This window comes from Homo sapiens, chromosome 15, assembly GCF_000001405.40.
Source record: "Homo sapiens chromosome 15, GRCh38.p14 Primary Assembly".
NCBI classification, from domain to species: Eukaryota; Metazoa; Chordata; class Mammalia; order Primates; family Hominidae; genus Homo; species Homo sapiens.
In genome coordinates, this window is record NC_000015.10 from 101,631,539 (window position 1) to 101,652,534 (window position 20,996).

Sequence of the window (20,996 nt, forward strand, 5' to 3'; positions counted from 1 at the left end):
GGGAGAAAATTTTCGCAACCTACTCATCTGACAAAGGGCTCATATCCAGAATCTACAATGAACTCAAACAAATTTACAAGAAAAAAACAAACAACCCCATCAAAAAGTGGGCGAAGGACATGAACAGACACTTCTCAAAAGAAAACATTTATGCAGCCAAAAGACACATGAAAAAATGCTCATCATCACTGGCCATCAGAGAAATGCAAATCAAAACCACAATGAGATACCATCTCACACCAGTTAGAATGGCAATCATTAAAAAGTCAGGAAACAACAGGTGCTGGAGAGGATGTGCAGAAATAGGAACAGTTTTACACTGTTGGTGGGACTGTAAACTAGTTCAACCATTGTGGAAGTCAGTGTGGCGATTCCTCAGGGATCTAGAACTGGAAATACCATTTGACCCAGCCATCCCATTACTGGGTATATACCCAAAGGACTATAAATCATGCTGCTATAAAGACACATGCACACGTATGTTTATTGCGGCATTATTCACAATAGCAAAGACTTGGAACCAACCCAAATGTCCAACAACGATAGACTGGATTAAGAAAATGTGGCACATATACACCATGGAATACTATGCAGCCATAAAAAATGATGAGTTCATGTCCTTTGTAGGGACATGGATGAAATTGGAAAACGTCATTCTCAGTAAACTATCGCAAGAACAAAAAACCAAACACCGCATATTCTCACTCATAGGTGGGAATTGAACAATGAGATCACATGGACACAGGAAGGGGAATATCACACTCTGGGGACTGTTGTTGGGTGGGGGGAGGGGGGAGGGATAGCATTGGGAGATATACCTAATGCTAGATGATGAGTTAGTGGGTGCAGTGCACCAGCATGGCACATGTATACATATGTAACTAACCTGCACAAGGTGCAAATGTACCCTAAAACTTAAAGTATAATAAAAAAAAAATTTTCTTAAAAAAAAAAAAGAAAACTTACCACAAAATTTAGAACTGAAAAATAAAATATGTGAATAAAAAGAAGCTGTCACTGAATGGGTTGAATAGCAGGTGGAGACAACATTAGAAACAATGAATCTGAGGCTAGATCAATATAAATTATCCTAAATAAGGAGAAAATAAGACTTTAAAATGAATAGAATCTCACAAACACGTGGGACGATAACAATCTAAAATTAATGTGATCAGAGACTCAATGGAAAAGAGAGTGTGGTGCCCAAAAATATCTGAAGAAAAAATGATTGAAAATTTCCCAAATTGGGCAAAAGACATAAGTTGACAAATTTAAGAGATTGAGCAAACTCCAAGCAGGATAAATCCAAATAAATCCATGCCCAAATACATAACAATAAAACATCTGAAAACTAAAGACAAATTTAAAACTTTTAGAAACAGCCAGAAAACAATTATTACCTACAGCATTAAAACTATTCAAATGACAGCATATTTTTCAGCAGAAATCATGAAGGCCAGAAGGACGTGTCATAAGACTTTTCAAGTGCTGAAAGAAAAAGAAAAACTGTCACCCAGAATTCTATGTTTGGCAAAACTAACTTTCAAGTATGAGGGTGAAATAAAGATATTCTCAGATGAAGAAAATCTAAGAAAATTTGTTACCAGCAGAACTGCCTTAAAAATTTTTTTGCTGGAGGAAGTAATTCCGACAGAAAATAAATGATAACAGAAGGAAATGTGGAACGTTTGGAATGAAGATGAGCCTCGGAAAGGATATATTACTTTTCTATTGCTTTATAACAAATTACTAGAAACTTGGAAGCTTAAAACAACACGTTGTGGATGAATATTTTGGGCATCGCTTAGCTGGATTCTCTGTTTCAGGGTGTCACCAGGTTACAACACAGGTGTTGGTGGGACTGTGTTCCTTTCTGGATCTTGGAGTCTTCTTCCAACCTCATCACACTGTTAGAAGAATTCAATTCCTTGCAGTTGTAGGAGTGAGGCCCTCAGATCCCGAAGGACACCCACAGATTTTGCAATGTGTTCCTGAATAAGCAGTTCCTATCAGACCATCTTTCTTCTTCAAGGACTGCTGTGGTTAGGGACGCTCATCTGCAACAACACAGTGTAATTCAGCACTTCTCATGCTCTTCTTCTCACGCTCCTCAAAAATCCACCTTTTTCAGGGTGATGTCAATGAAGTCCAACAGTGAGCTGAACATGAAGCCCCACCTGGGCCTGCAGACTATACCCAAAAAGAAGAAGAATTTAAAAGAAAAAACAATTAGTTCTTATGACATAATATCCAACATGTCCAGGAGACAATAAAAAATCCATATACCAAGAACCAGGACATTCACAACTTGATTGAGAAGAGATGATCAAAAGGTGCCAGCGTTGAGAAGACTCAGACATTGGGATTACCTGACAAGAATTTTAAAGCAACTATCATGAAAATGCCTCACTGAGCAATTACTAACACTCTTAATACAAATAGAAAGTAGAAAATAAATAGAAGATATAAAAAGGTACCAAGGGAAATTATGTAACAAAAAATATAATAATTGAAATTAAAAACTCACTGGGCTGCCTCAGTAGTGGACAAGAGATGATAGAGGAACGAAAAATCGATGAACTCAAAAGCATATCAATAGAAATGTCCAGTCTGGGCCAGGCATGGGGACTCATGCCTGTAATCCCAGCACTTTGGGAGGCCGAAGCAGGTGGATTACTTGAGGCCAGGAGTTCAAGACCAGCCTGGCTAACATGGCAAAACACCGTCTCTACTAAAAATACAAAAATTAGCCAGGTGTGGTGGTGCATGCCTGTAATCCCAGCTACTCAGGAGGCTGAGGCAGGAGAATTGCTTGAGCCTGGGAGGTGGAGGTTGCAGTGAGCCGAGATCGCAGCACTGCACTCCAGCCTGGGCGACAGAGCAAGACTCCATCTCAAACAAACAAACAAACAAACAAAAAACTGAAAAGAGAAATACAGAAAGCCACCATTAGAGTTGGAGACTGCAACATTTCTCTGTCAGTAATTGACAGAATAAGAACACGGAATATTGGCAAAGATAGAAAAATGCTGAAAAATACTATCAAGCAAATTGACCTAATCGTCACTGATAAAACACATGACCTGGACCAGTGGAATACACATTATTTTCAAGTGCACATGTAACATTCAGCATGATAGACCGTATGTGAGCCATAAAGCAAATCAACAAATTTAAAATAACTAAAATAATACAAATTTTATTCTCTTACCACAGTGAAAACCAGCTACAAACTAAGTACAAAAATATATCTTGAAAATGTCTTTGAGGACATTTTTAAGACCAATAACTCATTTAAACAATTATCTTTAAATGCTTTATTTAAAAATTATCTTTTGGGCCAGGTGCAGTGGCTTATGCCTGTAATCCCAGCAGTTTGGGAGGCCAAGGCAGGAGGCTCACTTGAGCCCAAGGGTTCAAGACAAGCCTGGGCAACATAGTGGGACCCTACCTCTAGAAAAAAATTTAAAAATTAGCCCACCATGGTGATGCAGACCTGTGGTCCCAGCTACCCGGGAGGCTAAGGTGGGAGAATCTCTTGAGCCTGGGAGGTGGAGATTGCAGTGAACTGAGATCGTGCCTCTGCACTCCAGCTTGGGTGACAGAGCAAGACCCTGTCTCAATAATAATAATATAAATCTTTTGACCAAAAGGAATTCAAAAGTGAAATTATAAAATATTTTAAATTATACATAATAGAATTTGTGAAATGTTCTCAAAGTTCAGACGGAAATTTATAGCATTACTTATAATACTTATATTAGAAAAGGAGAAATGTCTCAAATTAGTGACCCAAGCATCTACCTTAAGAAACTAGGGAGAAAAAAGGAATACTGTTTGCAATCTGTGAGCATTTTTTATATTTAGTGATTAAAATCACAGCCTGGCTACTATCAGGGCCATTTTCCACTTTCTCAGCATGAACTCACTTTTGGTGCCACATTTCTTTTACTGTGAAATAAATTCTTTGATCAGAAGCAATCTTGTGTGAAACAGTGAATAAAGCTAGAGAAGGCGAATCCGTGTTCAAAGTAAGCATCTATTCCAGTGTGGACAAATCAACGTTCCCTGCTTGATGGGGAGGGGCGGGGGTTCAGTGGAATCATCTCTTTGTGCTTATATTTTTGTGCACAAGAATATGACATGCTTCATGAAAGGAAGAACTTAGCTTAGTGCTAAATCCCCAGGGCTCAGGAGGGTGCATGCCACATAGGGGCTCAGTACTTTCGCTGAATGAAGAAATACGCTTAAGTGTTCTATAGTACAGAGTTTTCGCAGGGGCTTTTCCTGTGTTTCTTGGATTATATTTTCCTCAAGATGAACTCTTCATCTTTCTTTCGCAGACTGTGTTTCTTCCTGTCTTTCCTTTCATCTGGGTTCTCTCGTTCCCCTTCTATCATATGTATGTGTGGTTACTGAGCCGTTTCTTTTTTTTTAAGACCGCTTTATTAAGAAGTAATTTATATGCTGTAAAGGTTACCAGCTTAAAGTGTAACTGGCTTTCTTCCCTTAGCACCGTGTTTTTGAGGTTTATTCACCTTATGGTGTGTATCAGTACTTCATTCCTTTATGTGATGAAATAGTATTCCATTATATGAATGAACTACATTTTGTTTATGTATTATTCATCAGTGGGACATTTGGGTTGTTTCCACTTTTTTACTATGAATAATGGTGCTGTAAACGAGTTTTTTAGTGTATGTCCTAAAACCTAAAATAACAATAGACAGATAGGCTCTCCAAAGGAGTTTATCTGGGATTGGTGGGGGATTGCAATCCAAGATACCCATGCCACAATGAACCAAGAAACACCCAAAGATGCTGGGGTCAAGGCAAACTTTTATAAAGACAAAAAGGAGAAAGTCATGTAAGCTGGTTTGAAACAAAAACTCTTGACTGTTGAAGCTCATAGCTCCTCATTGGTCACGCTGGCTGTTGCTGGGGAGATGTCTTCACAGCAGCAGCTTAACATGGAGTGTTTATGGTTTCCAGGGAGTCCTTGTAATAGTTCTTATCATAGGTACATGTGCGTGAGTACTCCTCCTTCAGGGCCTCCCGGATTCATTTTGCTAGGGTTTGACCTAAGTGACCCCATTTTGGTGCTGACAACTTTCACAACATATCTCCACTTCTCTTGGGTGTATACCTAGAAGATTCCCCAAGTCACATGGTAACTCTATGTTTAACATTTTCACAAATTGCCAGACTGTTTTCCTGGGCAGCTACATCACTTTACATCCCCACCAGCAATATATGAAGGTTCCAATTTCTCCACATTCTCATCAATACTTGTTATTGTGTTTTCTTTTTCTTTTATTTTTTAGAGACAGTGTCTCGCTCTGTGGCTCAGGCTGGAGTGCAGTGGTGTGGTCACAGTGTCGATGAAGAGTCCAACTCTGTAAAATATTTGAAGAGATTTATTCCGAACCAAATATGAGTGAGGCACAGTATCAAGAGGTCCTAAGAACATGTGCCCGGTGTGGTCCGGCTACAGCTTGAATTTATACATTTTAGGGAGACATAAGACACCAGTCAATACATGTAAGATGCAGACTGGTTCCATCTGGAAAGGCAGGACAGCTCGAAGCAGGGGCTTCCAGATCATGGGTAGATTCAAGGATTTTCTAATTGGCAATTGGTTGAAAGTGTTATTGTCTAAAGACCTCTAATCAACAGAGGGGAGTGTCTGGGTTATGATAAGGGATTGTGGAGACCAAGGTTCTTATCATGCAGATGAAGCCTCCAGATTGCGAGCTTCAGAGAGAATAGATTGGAAATGTTTCTTAGACTGAAAAAGGTGCCAGATTTGTGACTGATTCTCTGCTGTGTCAGGGAAAAGACCTGAAAGGGAAGGGGATTCTTTGCAGAATGTAGATTTTTCCAAGAGACAGCTATGCGGGGCCATTTCAAGATATGGCAAAGAAACATATTTGGGGTTAAAATATTTTGATTTATCTGTCATGTGATGTTATGCCAGAGTCAGGTTGGAAAGTAAGCCACATCACATAGGGTTAAATAAAACTGCTTTGAGATTTTATAAGGTGCAACTCCCCAGCCCCTTAGATAGGAATTTGGGCAAGAGGGAAAAAAGGTCAGAGTTTAGTCCTCAGTAGCTAACTGTAACTCCACCTCCTGGGCTCAAAGATCGCTCCCACCTCAGCTTCCCAAGTAGCTGGGACCACAGGCGCACACCTGCTTATTTTTATTTATTTTTTTTAGAGACAGGCGTAACTACGTTGCGCAGGCAGGTTAAGAATGCCTTTTATTATAGTCATTCTAGTGGGTGGTGAGTCATTTCATTTTGTTCTCATGTAAAAGGACAACTTCATAATATGTGAACAAATTCCCTTGGTTTTCTCTTCGAGCATTTTGCAAGTTGTATTTTGTGTTCTATTCTACATTCCGTGCCCTGATAGCTAGGAGTGAGGCAGGGAAAAGCTCAGCTGAGACTATATCTTTGCTAGAATATCTGGTCTCTGGTTTCTTGACTAGGATTTTCTAAATGTCCTGAATCAAAGTTTCCTCCCCAGGGAATGATGCAATGACCCCTGGGGGTCACCCCAGGCTTTGGATCCTTTATCTGGTTCAGCAGGGAACCCCTGAACCCATCAGAGTCCCTCCTGTTTGTTCACGAGCCCTCTCTCACTGGTCTCTTCCCAGCAGCCCTTTTCACTTCCCCCAGCAGTAACAGGAGAAAGATATAGATACCTCTCTTTCTCCGAATTAACCTGTTTTTCCTCACCAGTGAGACCCCCCCACCTTTTTTTTTTTTGGAGACAGAGTTTCGCTCTTGTTGCCCAGGCTGGAGTGCAATGGTATGATCTCGGCTCACAGCAGCCTCTGCCTCCCAGGTTCAAGCAATTCTCCTGCCTCAGCCTCCTGAGTAGCTGGGATTACAGGCACCTGCCACCACGCCCACCTAATTGTTTTGTATTTTTAGTAGAGACGGGGGTTTCACCATGTTGGCCAGGCTGGTCTCGAACTCCTAGCCTCAGGTGATCTGCCCGCCTCGGACTCTCAAAGTGCTGGGATTGCAGGTGTGAGCCACCACGTCTGGCCTCCAGTGAGACTTTCTGAGTTTTGTTGCGCCAGCAGGGCCATTTGCGGGAGTAATCTTACACACCTGAGCAATAATTTTTTTTCCCTGTATTCACAATTTTTTGACGTTTTTGGCATTTGGCTGTATCCTTTTGCTTGTTCGCTGTGGAGTTTTCATTTGTTTGCTGGTTTTGGGCAGGAAGGAGGTGCTGGCTTTTCCTACAGTGTGTTTATCATTTAAGTATTTGAGAAGGGAGATGCTGCAATCCAGCTGCACTCTACCACTTTAAAAATTCTCAGCAATACTTTTAGGTGTTTAGCTTACTCCCAGCAATTCCTCCTTACTCATTCATCAAACTCCTAGTCACTGTGCACCTGCTGCATGGCCGGCAGGGCTCTCAGAGCTGAGCTACAGCAGAGAACCAGAGCCCTGCCTTCGTGGAGCCTTAGTAAATTATGTCCACGTGTCTCCATCAAAGCGTATTTTGCATAAAAGTGTTGTGTTTATGGAAGACAATTTCAATACATTTAAAAGAATTTAAATCAAATTTGCCTAGGTTACAAAATTAACCAATAGGTCTAGTGCATAGCATCACTACAGTTATCATATTATAAATTTGCTAAGAGTAGATTTTAAGTGCTCTTACCATGAAAGAAACGCATACGATGTATATACAATAAAAGTTTAAAAAATGTGTCTACCCCCTAACATTCATGTGACACTTCATACTCTACCAAAAGGGCAGAACAGAGGGGAAGCTTTAGAGCAGGAGCGGAGGAATCTGCCTCCATTTTTCCTGGGTGTTTTTTTTTTTCCTTTTTATGCATATTCTACTTATGTAGTGCCTTCATTTTCAGGCTTTTTCAATGTTGTATTTGAGAAGCTGCATCAGGTACAGCTCATTTTCCACTCATTGCTTACAGGATGAATTAAAATCATTTGCATATTCCGTAGCTGATGATATATGCCCAAAATAAATGCAAGTCTGGCATAAGGCATTAAAAAAAAAGTACAGAGAAATGAAGTTGTGTGGCATAGAGAAGGTATTTTTACATTTTAAAATCTTGAAGCATAAGATCTTTGAAAAAATCTTTTTATACGCACCATAAACCAGTTGTTCCTCAGCAATTTGCAGAAATCAGATCAACATGGTGTTACAGACAAATATTTACTTGAAGCCAATTTCTATATATTATCTCCTTGCAGCCACCTCAACTGCCAGTCCCTGGAATTGTACACAGTCCCTTCAAAACCTTGAGGACACCCGTGGCATTAACTCAGCAAATAAATGAGAGCCTCTGTGTGCACGGCATTGTTCTAGGGACAATGGAGGGGGTAGACATAAATAACCCAGCACCTTCCCGTGAGGCATTACTGGGGTAAATGGAAGAGAGCTGACAAAGCAAGGTAGAGATTCTTAAGGGGAAATCATGACAGATGGCCTGCTGCAGTGATAAATTCTGAGTGTCTAGAGAACTATCAATAGAGGATGGTTGACTGATATGGTTCCCAACCTGTGTGAACAGGATGGCTATCTAATCATATCCCTGGGTCAGAGCCCATAGCTCACACATGATGGACTGAGTATTTGTGTCTTTTCCACCCCAAATTCACATGTGGAAATCCTCACCACTGTAATGATGGTATCAGGAGGTGGGACCTTTGGGAGGTGATCAGGTCATGAGGGTGGAGCTCTCAGGATTGGGATTAGTGCCCTTATAGAAGAGGCCCCAGAGAGATCTTCCCTGCCTCTACCATGTGAGGATGTGAGAAGATGTTATGAGGAAGAAGGCCCTCACCAGATACCAAATTTACCAGCACCTTCATCTTGGACTTTCTAGCTTCCAGAACTCTTAAGAAATAAATTTCTGTTGTTAAGCCACGCCGTTTATGGTATTGTTATAGCAATCCTGAAAATCTAAGACAGCAGAGGAATAGAACCTGAAGGTCAGACTCCAACATGGCATTTTGCTGCCAGCAGAGGCCCATGGGATTTGCTACAAGAGATTGCACCCACACTCCCTAGTGCCCTTTGAAAGTATAGTTTTACTTTGCAGTTTCTTTTTGGGGCTGTGTATGAGTTCATCGTTCATAAATTTGTTTGTACTATTTGAAAATCTCTTCGTATTTCCTGCTAGTTCTGTCTCAGGCCATCAGCTCTATCAAAGTCCTTGATCTGAAGCATTCCTGACTGGCTTACATCCTTCAGGTTCCAAGGGCTATGCCCTTGTGCAAACTTTTTAGGATTTGGGAACAAGTTCATTTATGCCTCCTTTCATGGATTCTGAATCTTTGAGCTTTACTCTCAGACACTGCAGCTTCATTATCTAATTCAGGCCCCAGAGCCACAAAAATGGTTAATCAAGGATGCTGTTACCTATTTCCACCAAGGGCAATGCATACTTCCTACTAACTTCCCACCGACTCCCTGGTTCCACCTTGCATGGTTGCTCAACAGGGAAGTATTAGATTCTCTTCTACACAGAGCTACATAAGGAGACTCAGGAGACATTTTTATTATAGTTAGCAAAGGGGCTACTTCTTGAAGAAAAGATCGTCTTCTAAAGAAACACCTGCTCAATCAACAGTTTAACGGATACAAAAAGTGTGTCTTTGCTCTCAGAAAGAAAGGTCCACATAAACCGGGTTACTCCCATCCTGAAGAACTGCTCATGCTCTGTGACAAGTTCCTCGTAAACAAAACAAAACAAAACCAGTTTTTTTTTCTGTTTCTGGAACTAGAATGGGGAAGCAAATGTAATGGGGATGCGCCACCTAGCGACGAGAGATGGAACTGTCACTCAACTAAGAAAAGGACTGTGCTTTAAACAGCAGCAAGTGATCACTGAAACCTTTCAGGTAAACTGAAATCAATAAATCATCTGCTGAATGAAATATGCAGATATTTTATAGCTTCTAGATATGATATGGTGGTTAACAGTCTTCTGGATAATACACACAAGTGTTTAAAAAGCAGTAACTCAGATACCCACATTTGAAAGAAAAAATGCTAAGTTTTTAAATGTTTCAAAAGCAAGCTTGAGTAAAAATCTTTTTGAATAACTGAGTTTTTTTTCCCCGATAAAGGGTCTATAACAGATCTATACTCAAAAACATTTATATATTTCCACTGTGTCAATAAACCAGCCAATTATGACTCTGTTAGAATGGAGTAATGCCCTGAAAGATAAAAATGTTATTCTTAACAATAAAGGTAAGTTGTAATGATTATTCAAGATTATATTTAATATAGAAAACAGGCCCACAGTATTTCTTAACTTGCAATTTTATTAATTTTTCAGTACTCTTACCTTTTATATACTACTAAGAAAATTTAAACCATAACTAGACATAAACATTCTGCAGTTTAATTCAAATTTTCATATATACAGACCAGACTACATATGTATTACACTGCAAAACTTACACATGACTGAAGCTGAGCCTAATAACTTCAATTAGCCAACAACAGAAACACTCCCACTTCCTGCAGTCACAGCAATTAGCTAACAATAAAAACACTCCCACTTCCTGCAGTCACAGCTGAAAGACTTTTCAAGGCAGACTACATTTGGGCTGGAGATACAAGTGATGTAGTTTGACTTGGGCAATACAAAACAAAAGTCATAGGAATTAAATGGATTTTCAATCACTGTATAATTCATTCTCCTGGCTTAAGTACGTTTTAATTTTTTCACAGAAAAAAATATATTTCAGGCAAATAAAAACAAATTCCAGATTAGCATAGTTCAGCGTTTCATTTATCTTACCTTTATCAAGGCAAACAAAGTACAGATGCTGTACATTAAAAACATAGAAATATATCACTCACACCACATCAACTCCTACGGACAAAAGGGCTTTTTCTAAGCCCTGCTCCTTTCTGAAGCACACACCACAGCTAAATGTACAAAGAGCCATCTGCTGGTCCAACATAGCCAACTCCAATGAGCAGGACGTCTATCAGCGTCCATATTCCCAGGCCACCGAAGCTGAAGAGCTTGCCGAGGCCTTCCCGCCACTGGCCCAGGTAGAAACGGTCTGCTCCAAACCCACCGAGGGTGATGCTGCGATGGCAAACAGACAGGATTCCATGAGACCACCTCCACCCCAGCTGTGGCCAGTCACGGTTTAATCACCACATTATGTCAGATTTGAGAAAGGGCTTCCCCTGATCGTAGCCCTTAACTGGAACACAAGTGACTATTTCACAAACTGACACCACCAAATAATTACGGGCAGGAAGACAGTTTAAATGTCAAAAGTAAACATACAATTTTTAGCTGTACTAAAAAACCAATGTTTTCTTTTTTTAAAGTTATCAATCTCATTGCTTTTTAGTCAAAATAAAGCAAAGACCCAGTCTAACAGGAAGTGCACTAACACGGGGTCAGGGCTGGAGTCAGGAGGAGCTCACCACCACCTGGACGACCTGGATCAAGTCATCCATGTTTTCAGTCTATTTTTTCATTCATCTCTAAAATCTTAATGTTAGGAATAAATCCTTAAAAGATTTAAGGATCTTTTAAATTCTAAGATCTAATAATACTGAAACTATATTATGGAAAATTTCTAAACACCTAACAATAAAAAGTAAAGAGAACAGTACCCATGACTCAGCTCCAATAATCAACACTTGGCCAGCTGTGTTTCATCAAAACCCTCCTCTTTCCCCTCCAGAGTACCCTGAAGCAAACCTTGGGCATCATCTCATTACAGTGATGATTTTAAAAGAAACCATGTTGCCGGGCGCGGTGGCTCACGCCTGTCATCCCAGCACTCTGGGAGGCTGAGGCAGGCGGATCACAAGGTCAGGAGATCCAGACCATCCTGGCTAACACGGTGAAACCCTGTCTCTATTAAAAATACAAAAAATTAGCCAGGCGTGGTGGCGGGCGCCTGTAGTCCCAGCTGCTCGGGAGGCTGAGGCAGGAGAATGGCGTGAACCTGGGAGGTGGAGCTTGCAGTAAGCCGAGATTGAGCCACTGCACTCCAGCCTGGGTGACAGAGAGAGACTCCGTTAAAAAAAAAAAAAAAAAAAAAAAGCAAAAAAAAAAAAAAACCATGTTGAGTGCTGAGAAGTTTTAATTGTTGAAAGTATGTTACAGTATAGTACTGTAAGAGGTTAACAATGTAGGGAAACCAGGTTAGGGGTATATAAGAACTCTACTATCTTTGCAACTTTTCTGTAAATTAAAATTATTCCAAGTTTCAAACATTTATTTATTTTTTTAAAAAGCCAGTTGTTAATTTGAACCATTGTCAGCAATGGTTACTAATCTTTTTTTTTGAGACAGAATCTCACTCTGTCACTGAGGCTGGAGTGCAGTGGTGCAATGCCAGCTCACTGCAGCCTCCTCCTCCTGGGCTCAAGTGATCTTCCCATTGCAGCCTACCACGCAGCTGGAACCACAGACATGAACCACGATGGCAGGCTTTTGTATTTTTGGTAGAGATGGGGTTTCACCATGTTGGCCAGGCTGGTCTTGAACTCCTGACCTCAAGCAATCCGCCAGCCTCGGCCTCCCAAAGCGCTGGGATTACAGGTGTGAGCCATCGCGCCCGCCCTATCTTATTTTTGTTAGTCTCATTTTCTATCCTGGCACCCTCTTTTACTTTTCAGTTACACTTTTCCTGCCAGGCAAGATCCTTCTTTCCTCAGCTCAAATTCTAATGCAGTGGTTCTCAGCAAGGGGCAATTTTGTCCCCTAGGGGACACCTGGCAACATCTGGAGACACACTGTCACAGCTGCAAGGGATGGGGGGTTTGCTACTGACAAGTAGTAGGTAGAGGCCAGTGATGCTGCTCAACACCCTGCTATGCACAGCACAGCCCCAAGACAAAAACTCATTCAGCCCAGAACGTCAGCAGTGATGAGGCTGAGAAATCCTGCCCTATGGCTGCAATGCTGCAGGCCTCAGGGTCTCAGGCACGAACTCAAAACTTCAAGTGTAGGCAGCGTAACCTTTTCACTAATCAGTTAACCAGGGTCTTACCTGCCCTTCCCTTTGGTGGGAAGAACTGCTATAATTTCTTAAAGTACTGTTGAGAAGTTTAACAAACAGCACATTTCTATGTAAGAAATATAAGCCTATAATTATCTGCTGCTGATGAAATTATAGGTAATTTTTAATGTTTTTGTCATTTTCATTTTTCCAGTTTTCAGTGTTCATCATGTATTACTTTTTATAATAGTTACTTAAAATTAAAGATATACATCATAAAACTGCCTATTTTGGATAGTCCACAGCATTTTACTGATTCGTGGTACATTCAGAATGGTAAACGTAATGTGCAGGCATCTTGGGAGAAAAGCTAACATGCCTGCCAGTCAACTCCACGGAGGTACTGGTCTGATCATCTAAACTCTTCCAGCTGTTTGCTAGAGTCTAACACACGTGGTAGGATCTGAGTGAAGAATGAAGGGGACTGAGCTCAATGTCTGAAGATTCCACCAATCCCAAAGAAATGCAAACGGCCTTTTACACTTACGAGTAACAAGGCTTACCTTAGAGCCAGAGCCGTAGACCACTTATAGCCTCCAGTCCAATTGCAATATAGCATTTTGGGAAAAGTACGGTTACCTTAAAAAAAAAAAAGAAAGAAAAATACAGGGTATAAAAAATACTCTCAGAAAGACTTAATTGTAACAAATGGGCTCAAAATTTAAAATGTGAAAAGTCAACTCTCTTTACGGTAATACATGTTGAAGTGAAGAGTACAAAGCGCTTACCATCTATCTACATAGATGTAATATTTAAATCAGCTAAGTTAGGATTACAACGTGAGGAACATGAAATGCTCACCCACATATCAAGACCTACGGGGAAGTTACGAGTATATAAGACAGTGTAGTCTTGAGGCATAAAAATCACCCAATAGGAAAAGAAGAGAAAGTCAAGAACCAGAAATATACAAACACTTCATGTATGAGTGTTATGACAGAGGTCACACACGGATCAACAGGGAAGAGTTGAGACAACTGGCCATCCATGTGGGGGGACAATTAAAGTAGAATCTACCTCACACCATCTACCAGGACCAATTCCAGGTGGATTCTAAACCTAAATGTGAAATGTTATACTTACAACTTTCAAAAGAAAATGTAGCAAATTGTCTTTATTAACCTGGGGTAGAAAAAGATTTCTTAAAACCACCACAAAAAAGGACTAACTCTAATAACTTCCAGTAATTATATTTTTAAAGTTCTGTTCATGAAAATATACAATAATGCAAAAAAAAAAAAAATCAAAATCTGGGAGAGGGTTTCAGGGACAGCACAGGTAATATCCAAAATATAAAAGAAGTCTAGACAACTTTAAGACCAAATTTAAGAATAACCACTCTTGGAGAGAATATGGCTCATCAGGAACAGTTACATAGCGCGGGTGGGAATGCCAGTCAATACAGCCATTTAAAGAATGACACACGCTGGAAAGTACATGCTGAAGAAGCTCTTGCACCTGTGCCATTGGGAGACAGGCAAAGAAATTTGAACAGTCACAACAGCGGAAAACAGCACTTAACCAAATATATTGGAGAATAAACTGTGATACAATCTTACAATAGATTATTACACAGAAGTAAAAAAAAGAAGAGAAGTCACGTGGATGAATCCTAGAGCCACAATGTTTAGGAAATAAGCAAGTCCCAGAAGAGCACACAGCCTGAAATCATTTTACACGGTTCTAAAACATGCATTATTGAATATTATTTTATTACATATAGACAATAAAACTACAGAAAAAATTTAAAAGGAAGTGAAATAAAAAATTCAAAAGGGTGGTTACCTTGGAAGAGGAGGAAAGGCAACCAGGTGAAGGCAAGCACTCAGGCACTCAGGCGGCCGCAATGGTATTGGTGCTGCTTTCATTGTTATTTTGGGTAAAGGTCAATTACTGTGTATTATGCTTTATACTTCAAATGTTTTTCTTATTTTATCAAATATTACATTTAAAAAGAACTGCAATTTTCTGGATGCTTTACTTTAGTACGTTGAGTTTATTGATGATGCTTGGCACATCTAAAGAGCTGCTGATAAATGTTTCTAATTAAGTAACTTGACTCGCAAATTTCTGGTTAAAGTCCCTTCAATAAACTTGGAGAAAAACATTTTGTTGACAAATGTCCTTGAACTCTGACCTACCCAAGCAGTGGACGTGGTCCCGCACCGTGCAGTTGGCAGGGTAGCGCTGCCGAGGACAGGACACCGTCATGCAGCTGGTGGAGTTGGTACACTCGTAATCTGTTTCAGGAAGCTGCCAGCAAAATCTGCAAGTCATGTTAATGATGAAGTTCTTTTGGGATTTGAAGTCTTGATCCTATGTAGCAAATGACACAAAACTCATCAATCACAATGGTGTAGTCTGTTAAGATGTCAGTAAGACTACACAGTCACATGGCACAAAATTCCGTAAATGCTTGTATTTAGGACCTAGGAGTAAGTGCCAGAAAAACAGTTACCAAAACAATATGTATGTAAAACAAATGCCTATGATGTGACCTCATAATCATAAAACTACACACCCAAACATATGTACTTAAGGGAAAAAACTAGATAAATTCACATCAAAATAGCAAAGGTTATTTCAGGGTGATATAATTATTTCATAACTTTTGCTTAGCTAAATTTTTCATAGTAAACGTATACTTTTATAATGCAGAAAAGAGGAAAATTTATTTTAGAAAGTCACAATCACGGATGGCTGGAAGGAACTGATGAATGCATTTGTTGAAGGTCACTGAGCTTCAAGTGAGGAGTGGAATCCAGGTCCCTGAACTCCAGCCTGATGCTTCTGTAATGGTTAACACACCGCCTTGCTTCCGAGTTGCCAACCTTCCCTAACATCCCCTACCTTGCACAGCCTGGCAACTCAGGGTTGTTACAGCTGCTCCTACCACCAGGGCATGTGGCATGTTTAATCCAGAGGCAGCCCAACTCAGAAGCACCACATGGTGTGTGGAGGCTCAGTGAGTGTTCACTGGTGGCCAGAGAATTTTTCATTTCAATTTTAAAAGCCATTATTTTGTATTCTGCTTACAAAAGTAGAATGTTCTTTGTATGTTACATATTTGAAGATTATAGACAAAAACCTATAGGTGTTCAGAGCTAACCACTTTTAATCTTCTTTCCGTTTCTTCTACATGTATATTTATAAATTTACTAAAATGGAATTATACTGAAAGCACTTTGTAGTCTTTTTACTCTACCTGACATTACATTGCAGTGCATATTTTTCAAAATCATTTTTATGTGGTCACACATCTCTGGAAGCATCATGTATATATATGTATACATATATATACACATACACACATTATTTTTTTTTCTTTTTTTGAGATGGAGTCTCGCTCTGTCGCCCAGGCTGGAATGCGGTGGTGCAATCTCGGCTCACTTCAACCTCCGCCTCCCAGGTTCAAGCGATTCTCCTGCCTCAGCCTCCTGAGTAGCTGGGATTAGAGACGCACCCCACCACGCCCAGCTAATTTTTGTATTTTTAGTACAGATGGGGTTTCACCATGTTGGCCAGGCTGGTCTCAACCTCTGACCTCAGGTGATTCACCTGCCTCGGCCTGCCAAAGTGCTGGGATTACAGGTGTAGGCCACCACGCCCGGCCCATGTTTGTTATTTTTTTTAACATTTCACAAATTTGCATGTCATTTTTGCAGAAGAGCCATCCTAATTCTCTCTGTATGGTTCCAACTTTGGCATATGCGCTGATGAAGCAAGTACTATTCATTTTCTTATCAATGCAAAAACCACTTTTTATGGAAAACATTCAAATATGGGTAAGGCATCACTTGATTTAGGCAAACAGTTGGATCTGCAAAATAATACGTTTACATCTGCCTATTTTCAGTGATGTGCTTAAAACACACTTTTTTTAATGGTTTTTTAAAAAGTAGGTGACACATGTACATGGAACACATGTCAAGACACAACAGGAGAGTGAGAAGTGAGCCGGCCTCGTCTGGCCCAGCCGCCGGGAGCCCCTGCCCTCCCCAGGCCAAGTACGCTCTGTGCTTCCAGAGAGAGCTGATTCTACACATAGGCACATTTATGTCACCTACATTTAATGTTCCCCAATACTTTCACTTAATTTTGGACATCTATCAGTACATTACCTCTAGAGCTGCCTAGTTCTTTTTAATGGCTACAAGGTGTTTATTCTATTACACGTGTACCATAAATTAAGCAGTTCTTAGACATTTCACTTCTTTTGAATCTTTTGCTTTAATGAGCAATGCAGCTAAAAAATAAGCACACTTATCTGCATCCATGTATAATGATATCTATAACATAAATTCCTACATGTACAACTACGAGCTCAACGATTGTGTGCATGTGTAAGTTTAACAGATATGGCAAATCGCCTACAAGAGGTTGATCAATTTGATTACCTATTAATAAGATATGAGCATCTGACCCTTATACTCTCACAAACTCAGAGTTAATCAAATTAAAAAAAAATTGCCAATCTAAGGGTTAAAAATGTATTAATTAAATACTATGAGAAAACTTATATGTTTTTCATGTTATATATCTATTTGTATTTCCTTTCCTATGAACCATCTGCTCATGTCCTAACACTGTTTTTCTACAAGACTGTCATCTTTTCCGTGTGGGTTTTAGGAAGTGTTTATATATTACTGATATTACTGTATTATTTGTCACATATTCTAGAAACGCTTTTTCCTAGTTTGCCATGTCTTTTGCCTTTATGCTTTTTTTTTTAGGTCATGCAGAAATCTCCAATTTTTAGGAGTCAAATGTATCAATTCTTTATTTTATGGCTTCTAAACTTTATTTCATACTTAGAAAAATATTCTCCATTTTGGGATTATAACAGCAACTATCTGGTGTTTTCTGTGGTACTTCAGGGTTTCATTTTTCACATTACATCTTTGGACTATCTGGAATTTATTCTGGATAAGACAGGCGTTCCACTTAATTTTGTTCTAGAGAGCTACCAGGCATTCCGGCATTTACTGAATCCATCTTCTCACCACAGATAAGCACTGGCCCTTCAAAAGCTCATCTATGGCAGAAAGACACTGCCACCCCCTCTGTACACTAGCTGTCACTATTGAGAACACAGAATCCATCTGAACGAATTAGACTTGCTTCAGATATGCTAGTAGACTGAGATCTTCTCCAGTCCTACAAAGCAACATTTCTGTCAAGTGCATTTCCAGCAGACATCAACTGGCTTGACAGTTATCATTATAACTAAAACAGTAGTGAGCTGATATGGAAAGGTCTATTGGGTTTTTTAATTTATTTCTGCTTACATACTCAAAAGGGAAATCATAAAAGAATATAAAAATTCTTCAGAATTTCTTCCCAATAATCAAGTCTGAATTGTTCTTCTAACTTAAAGTTTACAATGAATTTATTTAGAATAAGTAAGCTGCAGTACTTACAACACAGGTAACAGATGGTTTCACTGCACAGTCAAAAGTGACAGGCTTCCCATAGGTACAGGAGAAATTTGTTGTGCAGTCTATACAGTCTGCAGGAAGCCTGCTACACAAACCATTGCTCGGACACTTCATCACATAAGGTGGGATTTCAGTACTTTCTGTGAGAGGCAAGAGAGAAGCTTATTCTCCTATAATACTGATTCGAATAACAGAGAACAATCTTCTAAGGTTAAGAGACGTGATCATTAGCAAGTAGACACTGCACTGGAAGGGAAGAAGCATGGGACTGGAGTCAGAGACACCTGCAATTAAAGCAGAATTCTGCCCACGGCCAGCTGTGGGACCTGGTGAGCACCACACTTGTAAAACATTACTTCATTCCTGCCTCCCACGTGGCCGTGAAAACTAAAGGTGCTCATATACAAATAATGTATAGAAAATTCTGGGTATACATTAAGGGCTTAAAAAAAAGACTATCATTTTGTAAGTTGAAAAAAAACTTACAGTAGGGTTTTGCAAAATCACAGAGGAAGTCTGTGGCAAAACTGGAACTAGAACCCAAATCTCTCCATTTCCAATCCCGTGTTCTTTTCATCTGAATTCACTAATTCAGAAATGAAGCCACTGACATCCTCAGGGCATCAACTTTAAAATGTCATTATTTCACACTGGTACTTCGATAAGCCACATTTGCTAATATAATATTTACAGTTTTACGCTACCAAAGTTCAAAACAGTTCTCTACTTTAATAACATCTTCAGTAAGCTGCAACTTATTTCCAACCAACCTAATGAGTGTGCAATGTATTTTTACCAACTGAAAGGATCAAAATTGCAAGTATTCCTGAAAAGAAGGGCTTTCAAAAGCCTGCAAGAGTTAAGAACTCTTGTGCTTTCTCTAAAAAGTAATCTGAGTTTAAAATTCAAGTGCACTGCTGTTTTTTACATCCAAATAAGAATCAGTAAAATATCTCTGCCAGTTTCAATTCACTGAAGTAATGTCACTTTAAAGTGATGAAATTATAGTCAGAGCCTCCACCTAGCAAAACACACTAATGCTTGTTTAAAACTGGTCCTACTTTACTCACTGTATTAAGGAACAATTCTACAAAATACTCTTTTTGATCCCGTGACTATGTGGCTGGAAGGTGGACACTTAGAATCACAAAGCAGAAATGACTTTAGGTCGTCAGACCAACCCCACCGCTTTAAAGATGAGGACCAAGGTCCAAAGAGGATAAATAATTTGTTCAAGATCCCAGTAGCAAAACCAGATCTAGATTTCAAGTCTCCATCAGTCCCGCTGTAATCCTTCCATTTCCACAGTCCTGAGGGAGCCTTTAATATTCCAACATCAGGAACAGGGTTTTAGCAGTAGAGGAAATTTGCTGAAGGGAAAGAAGCACGGACTGAAGGTTATTTTGATGGATGAAGTGGAAAAATAATAGAAATAAGGTGACAAATGAGCGTGGGATTGGAAAAAGAGAGGAGGCAGAAACGTCAAAAGGTATAAATACGAAGACTATCTACTGAAAATGGCTGTGTATCTACCCTTAATTCACATAATCTAAAATACAATAAATATTCAAAAATGGAAAGTGACTTCGTATACTAAAGGGAATTTTTATAAAAACAAAGAGAAACTACTAGAGATAACTACATGTATTTACTAGAATAGAAAACGTCTAGTACCTGCTGCCCTGGGAACTACTGTGAATGTGCGTGTTGGGCCCGGATCCTTTATTGACTGAGCCAGCGCCTGCGATTGCTCTAAATTTAAGGATCGTACAATTAGAGAAACACGTTATCCCGGGACAAGAAAACCTTATTTTGTGTGGTTAACACGGCGGGTCTACACCAGGCCAATAAGCTGCTCATGAAAACCTCACGGCTGGTCAGCCAGAAAACACAAAGCTTAGGGACGAAACGTCAACAGAGTAGACATCAGTTCAGGTCAGCCGGCAACGAGGGACCGAAGGATGACATCGCGCTCCAGTTCCGCCTCCCCGGCCCAGCCCCCAAGCGCTCCATCTCCGTGCCAGGGCTCCGCAGCCGCGATGGCGGGCTCGGTGTCGCCGGAGCGGAGGGGCGGCCTCGGGCCGGGCGGCCAGGGCGCCAGACTCCAGATGCAGCGACAAGCGGCCCGGAGCCCGGCACTCGGCCTCCTCCCCGCGTCAGCGTCCGCCCGTGGGCCCGGCCTCCTCGCAGCTCCCGGGGCCCTGCTGCCACTCAGCCCCACCCGGCGCTGAACCCAGCCTTTGACTCACCACCGCCCGACAGAATGCAGAACTGCGAGAGGAAGAGCAGCACGCGACACAAGGCGCGGAGGCCCCTCAGCGGGAGCACCCCTCCCGCCATCTTGCCAGCGCCTGCGCACTTCCGGGCCGGGGGGCGGGGCGCGCCTGGGAGCCGGAGCGTGAACTGGACGCAGGCGCGCTGCGACTCCTGGCGGCCGGCGTTTGCGCTTTCGCTGTCCTCGCGCGGGTCGCGGGTTTTCTTCCGGTTGAGCCTTCTGGGAGGTCCCCGAGGAG

General features: G+C 40.7%; 1 protein-coding gene and 1 pseudogene across 4 annotated transcripts, besides 3 other annotated features; both read right to left on the reverse strand.

The window, feature by feature from the left end:
- Window positions 1–1,438: 1,438 nt before the first annotated feature.
- TM2D3 (TM2 domain containing 3) lies at window positions 1,439–20,843 on the reverse strand. 4 transcript variants are annotated; one of them, NM_001308026.2, is made up of 6 exons: window positions 20,733–20,843; window positions 20,158–20,235; window positions 18,466–18,623; window positions 15,187–15,361; window positions 13,549–13,624; window positions 1,439–2,190 (listed from the first exon to the last, which is right to left on the reverse strand). In NM_001308026.2, the coding sequence occupies exons 1-6, from the start codon at window positions 20,821–20,823 to the stop codon at window positions 2,139–2,141; spliced, it is 630 nt and encodes a 209-aa protein (NP_001294955.1). In that variant the 5' UTR covers window positions 20,824–20,843; the 3' UTR covers window positions 1,439–2,138. The 4 variants fall into 4 exon arrangements, with proteins under 4 accessions (NP_001294955.1, NP_001294889.1, NP_510883.2 ...); NM_078474.3 differs by lacking the exon at window positions 1,439–2,190 and adding an exon at window positions 10,310–11,106; NM_001307960.2 differs by lacking the exon at window positions 20,158–20,235.
- Window positions 9,745–9,904: a silencer, noted in NCBI's record as "silent region_6891". NCBI's record gives its function as "represses an Ori minimal core promoter by ATAC-STARR-seq in GM12878 lymphoblastoid cells {active_cell/tissue: GM12878}" and the evidence as "EXISTENCE:reporter gene assay evidence [ECO:0000049][PMID:35858748]".
- Window positions 15,101–15,267: a silencer, noted in NCBI's record as "fragment chr15:102186842-102187008 (GRCh37/hg19 assembly coordinates)". NCBI's record gives its function as "represses an EF-1alpha promoter that drives an FKBP-Casp9 reporter gene in an ReSE screen in phorbol 12-myristate 13-acetate-treated (for megakaryocytic differentiation) K562 erythroleukemia cells {active_cell/tissue: K562(+PMA)}" and the evidence as "EXISTENCE:reporter gene assay evidence [ECO:0000049][PMID:32094911]".
- On the reverse strand, window positions 16,668–16,774 carry RNU6-807P (RNA, U6 small nuclear 807, pseudogene; annotated as a pseudogene).
- Window positions 20,431–20,990: a silencer, noted in NCBI's record as "silent region_6892". NCBI's record gives its function as "represses an Ori minimal core promoter by ATAC-STARR-seq in GM12878 lymphoblastoid cells {active_cell/tissue: GM12878}" and the evidence as "EXISTENCE:reporter gene assay evidence [ECO:0000049][PMID:35858748]".

Coding starts and splice junctions, on each gene's coding strand:
- TM2D3 (NM_078474.3), bottom strand. CDS start 20,823: ATGGCGGGAGGGGTGCTCCCGCTGAGGGGCCTCCGCGCCTTGTGTCGC. Junction 20,236..20,732: donor CTGCATTCTGTCGGGCGGTG/GTGAGTCAAAGG, acceptor CCTTAAATTTAG/AGCAATCGCAGGCGCTGGCT. Junction 11,107..13,548: donor TCTACGGCTCTGGCTCTAAG/GTAAGCCTTGTT, acceptor TTGCCATCGCAG/CATCACCCTCGGTGGGTTTG.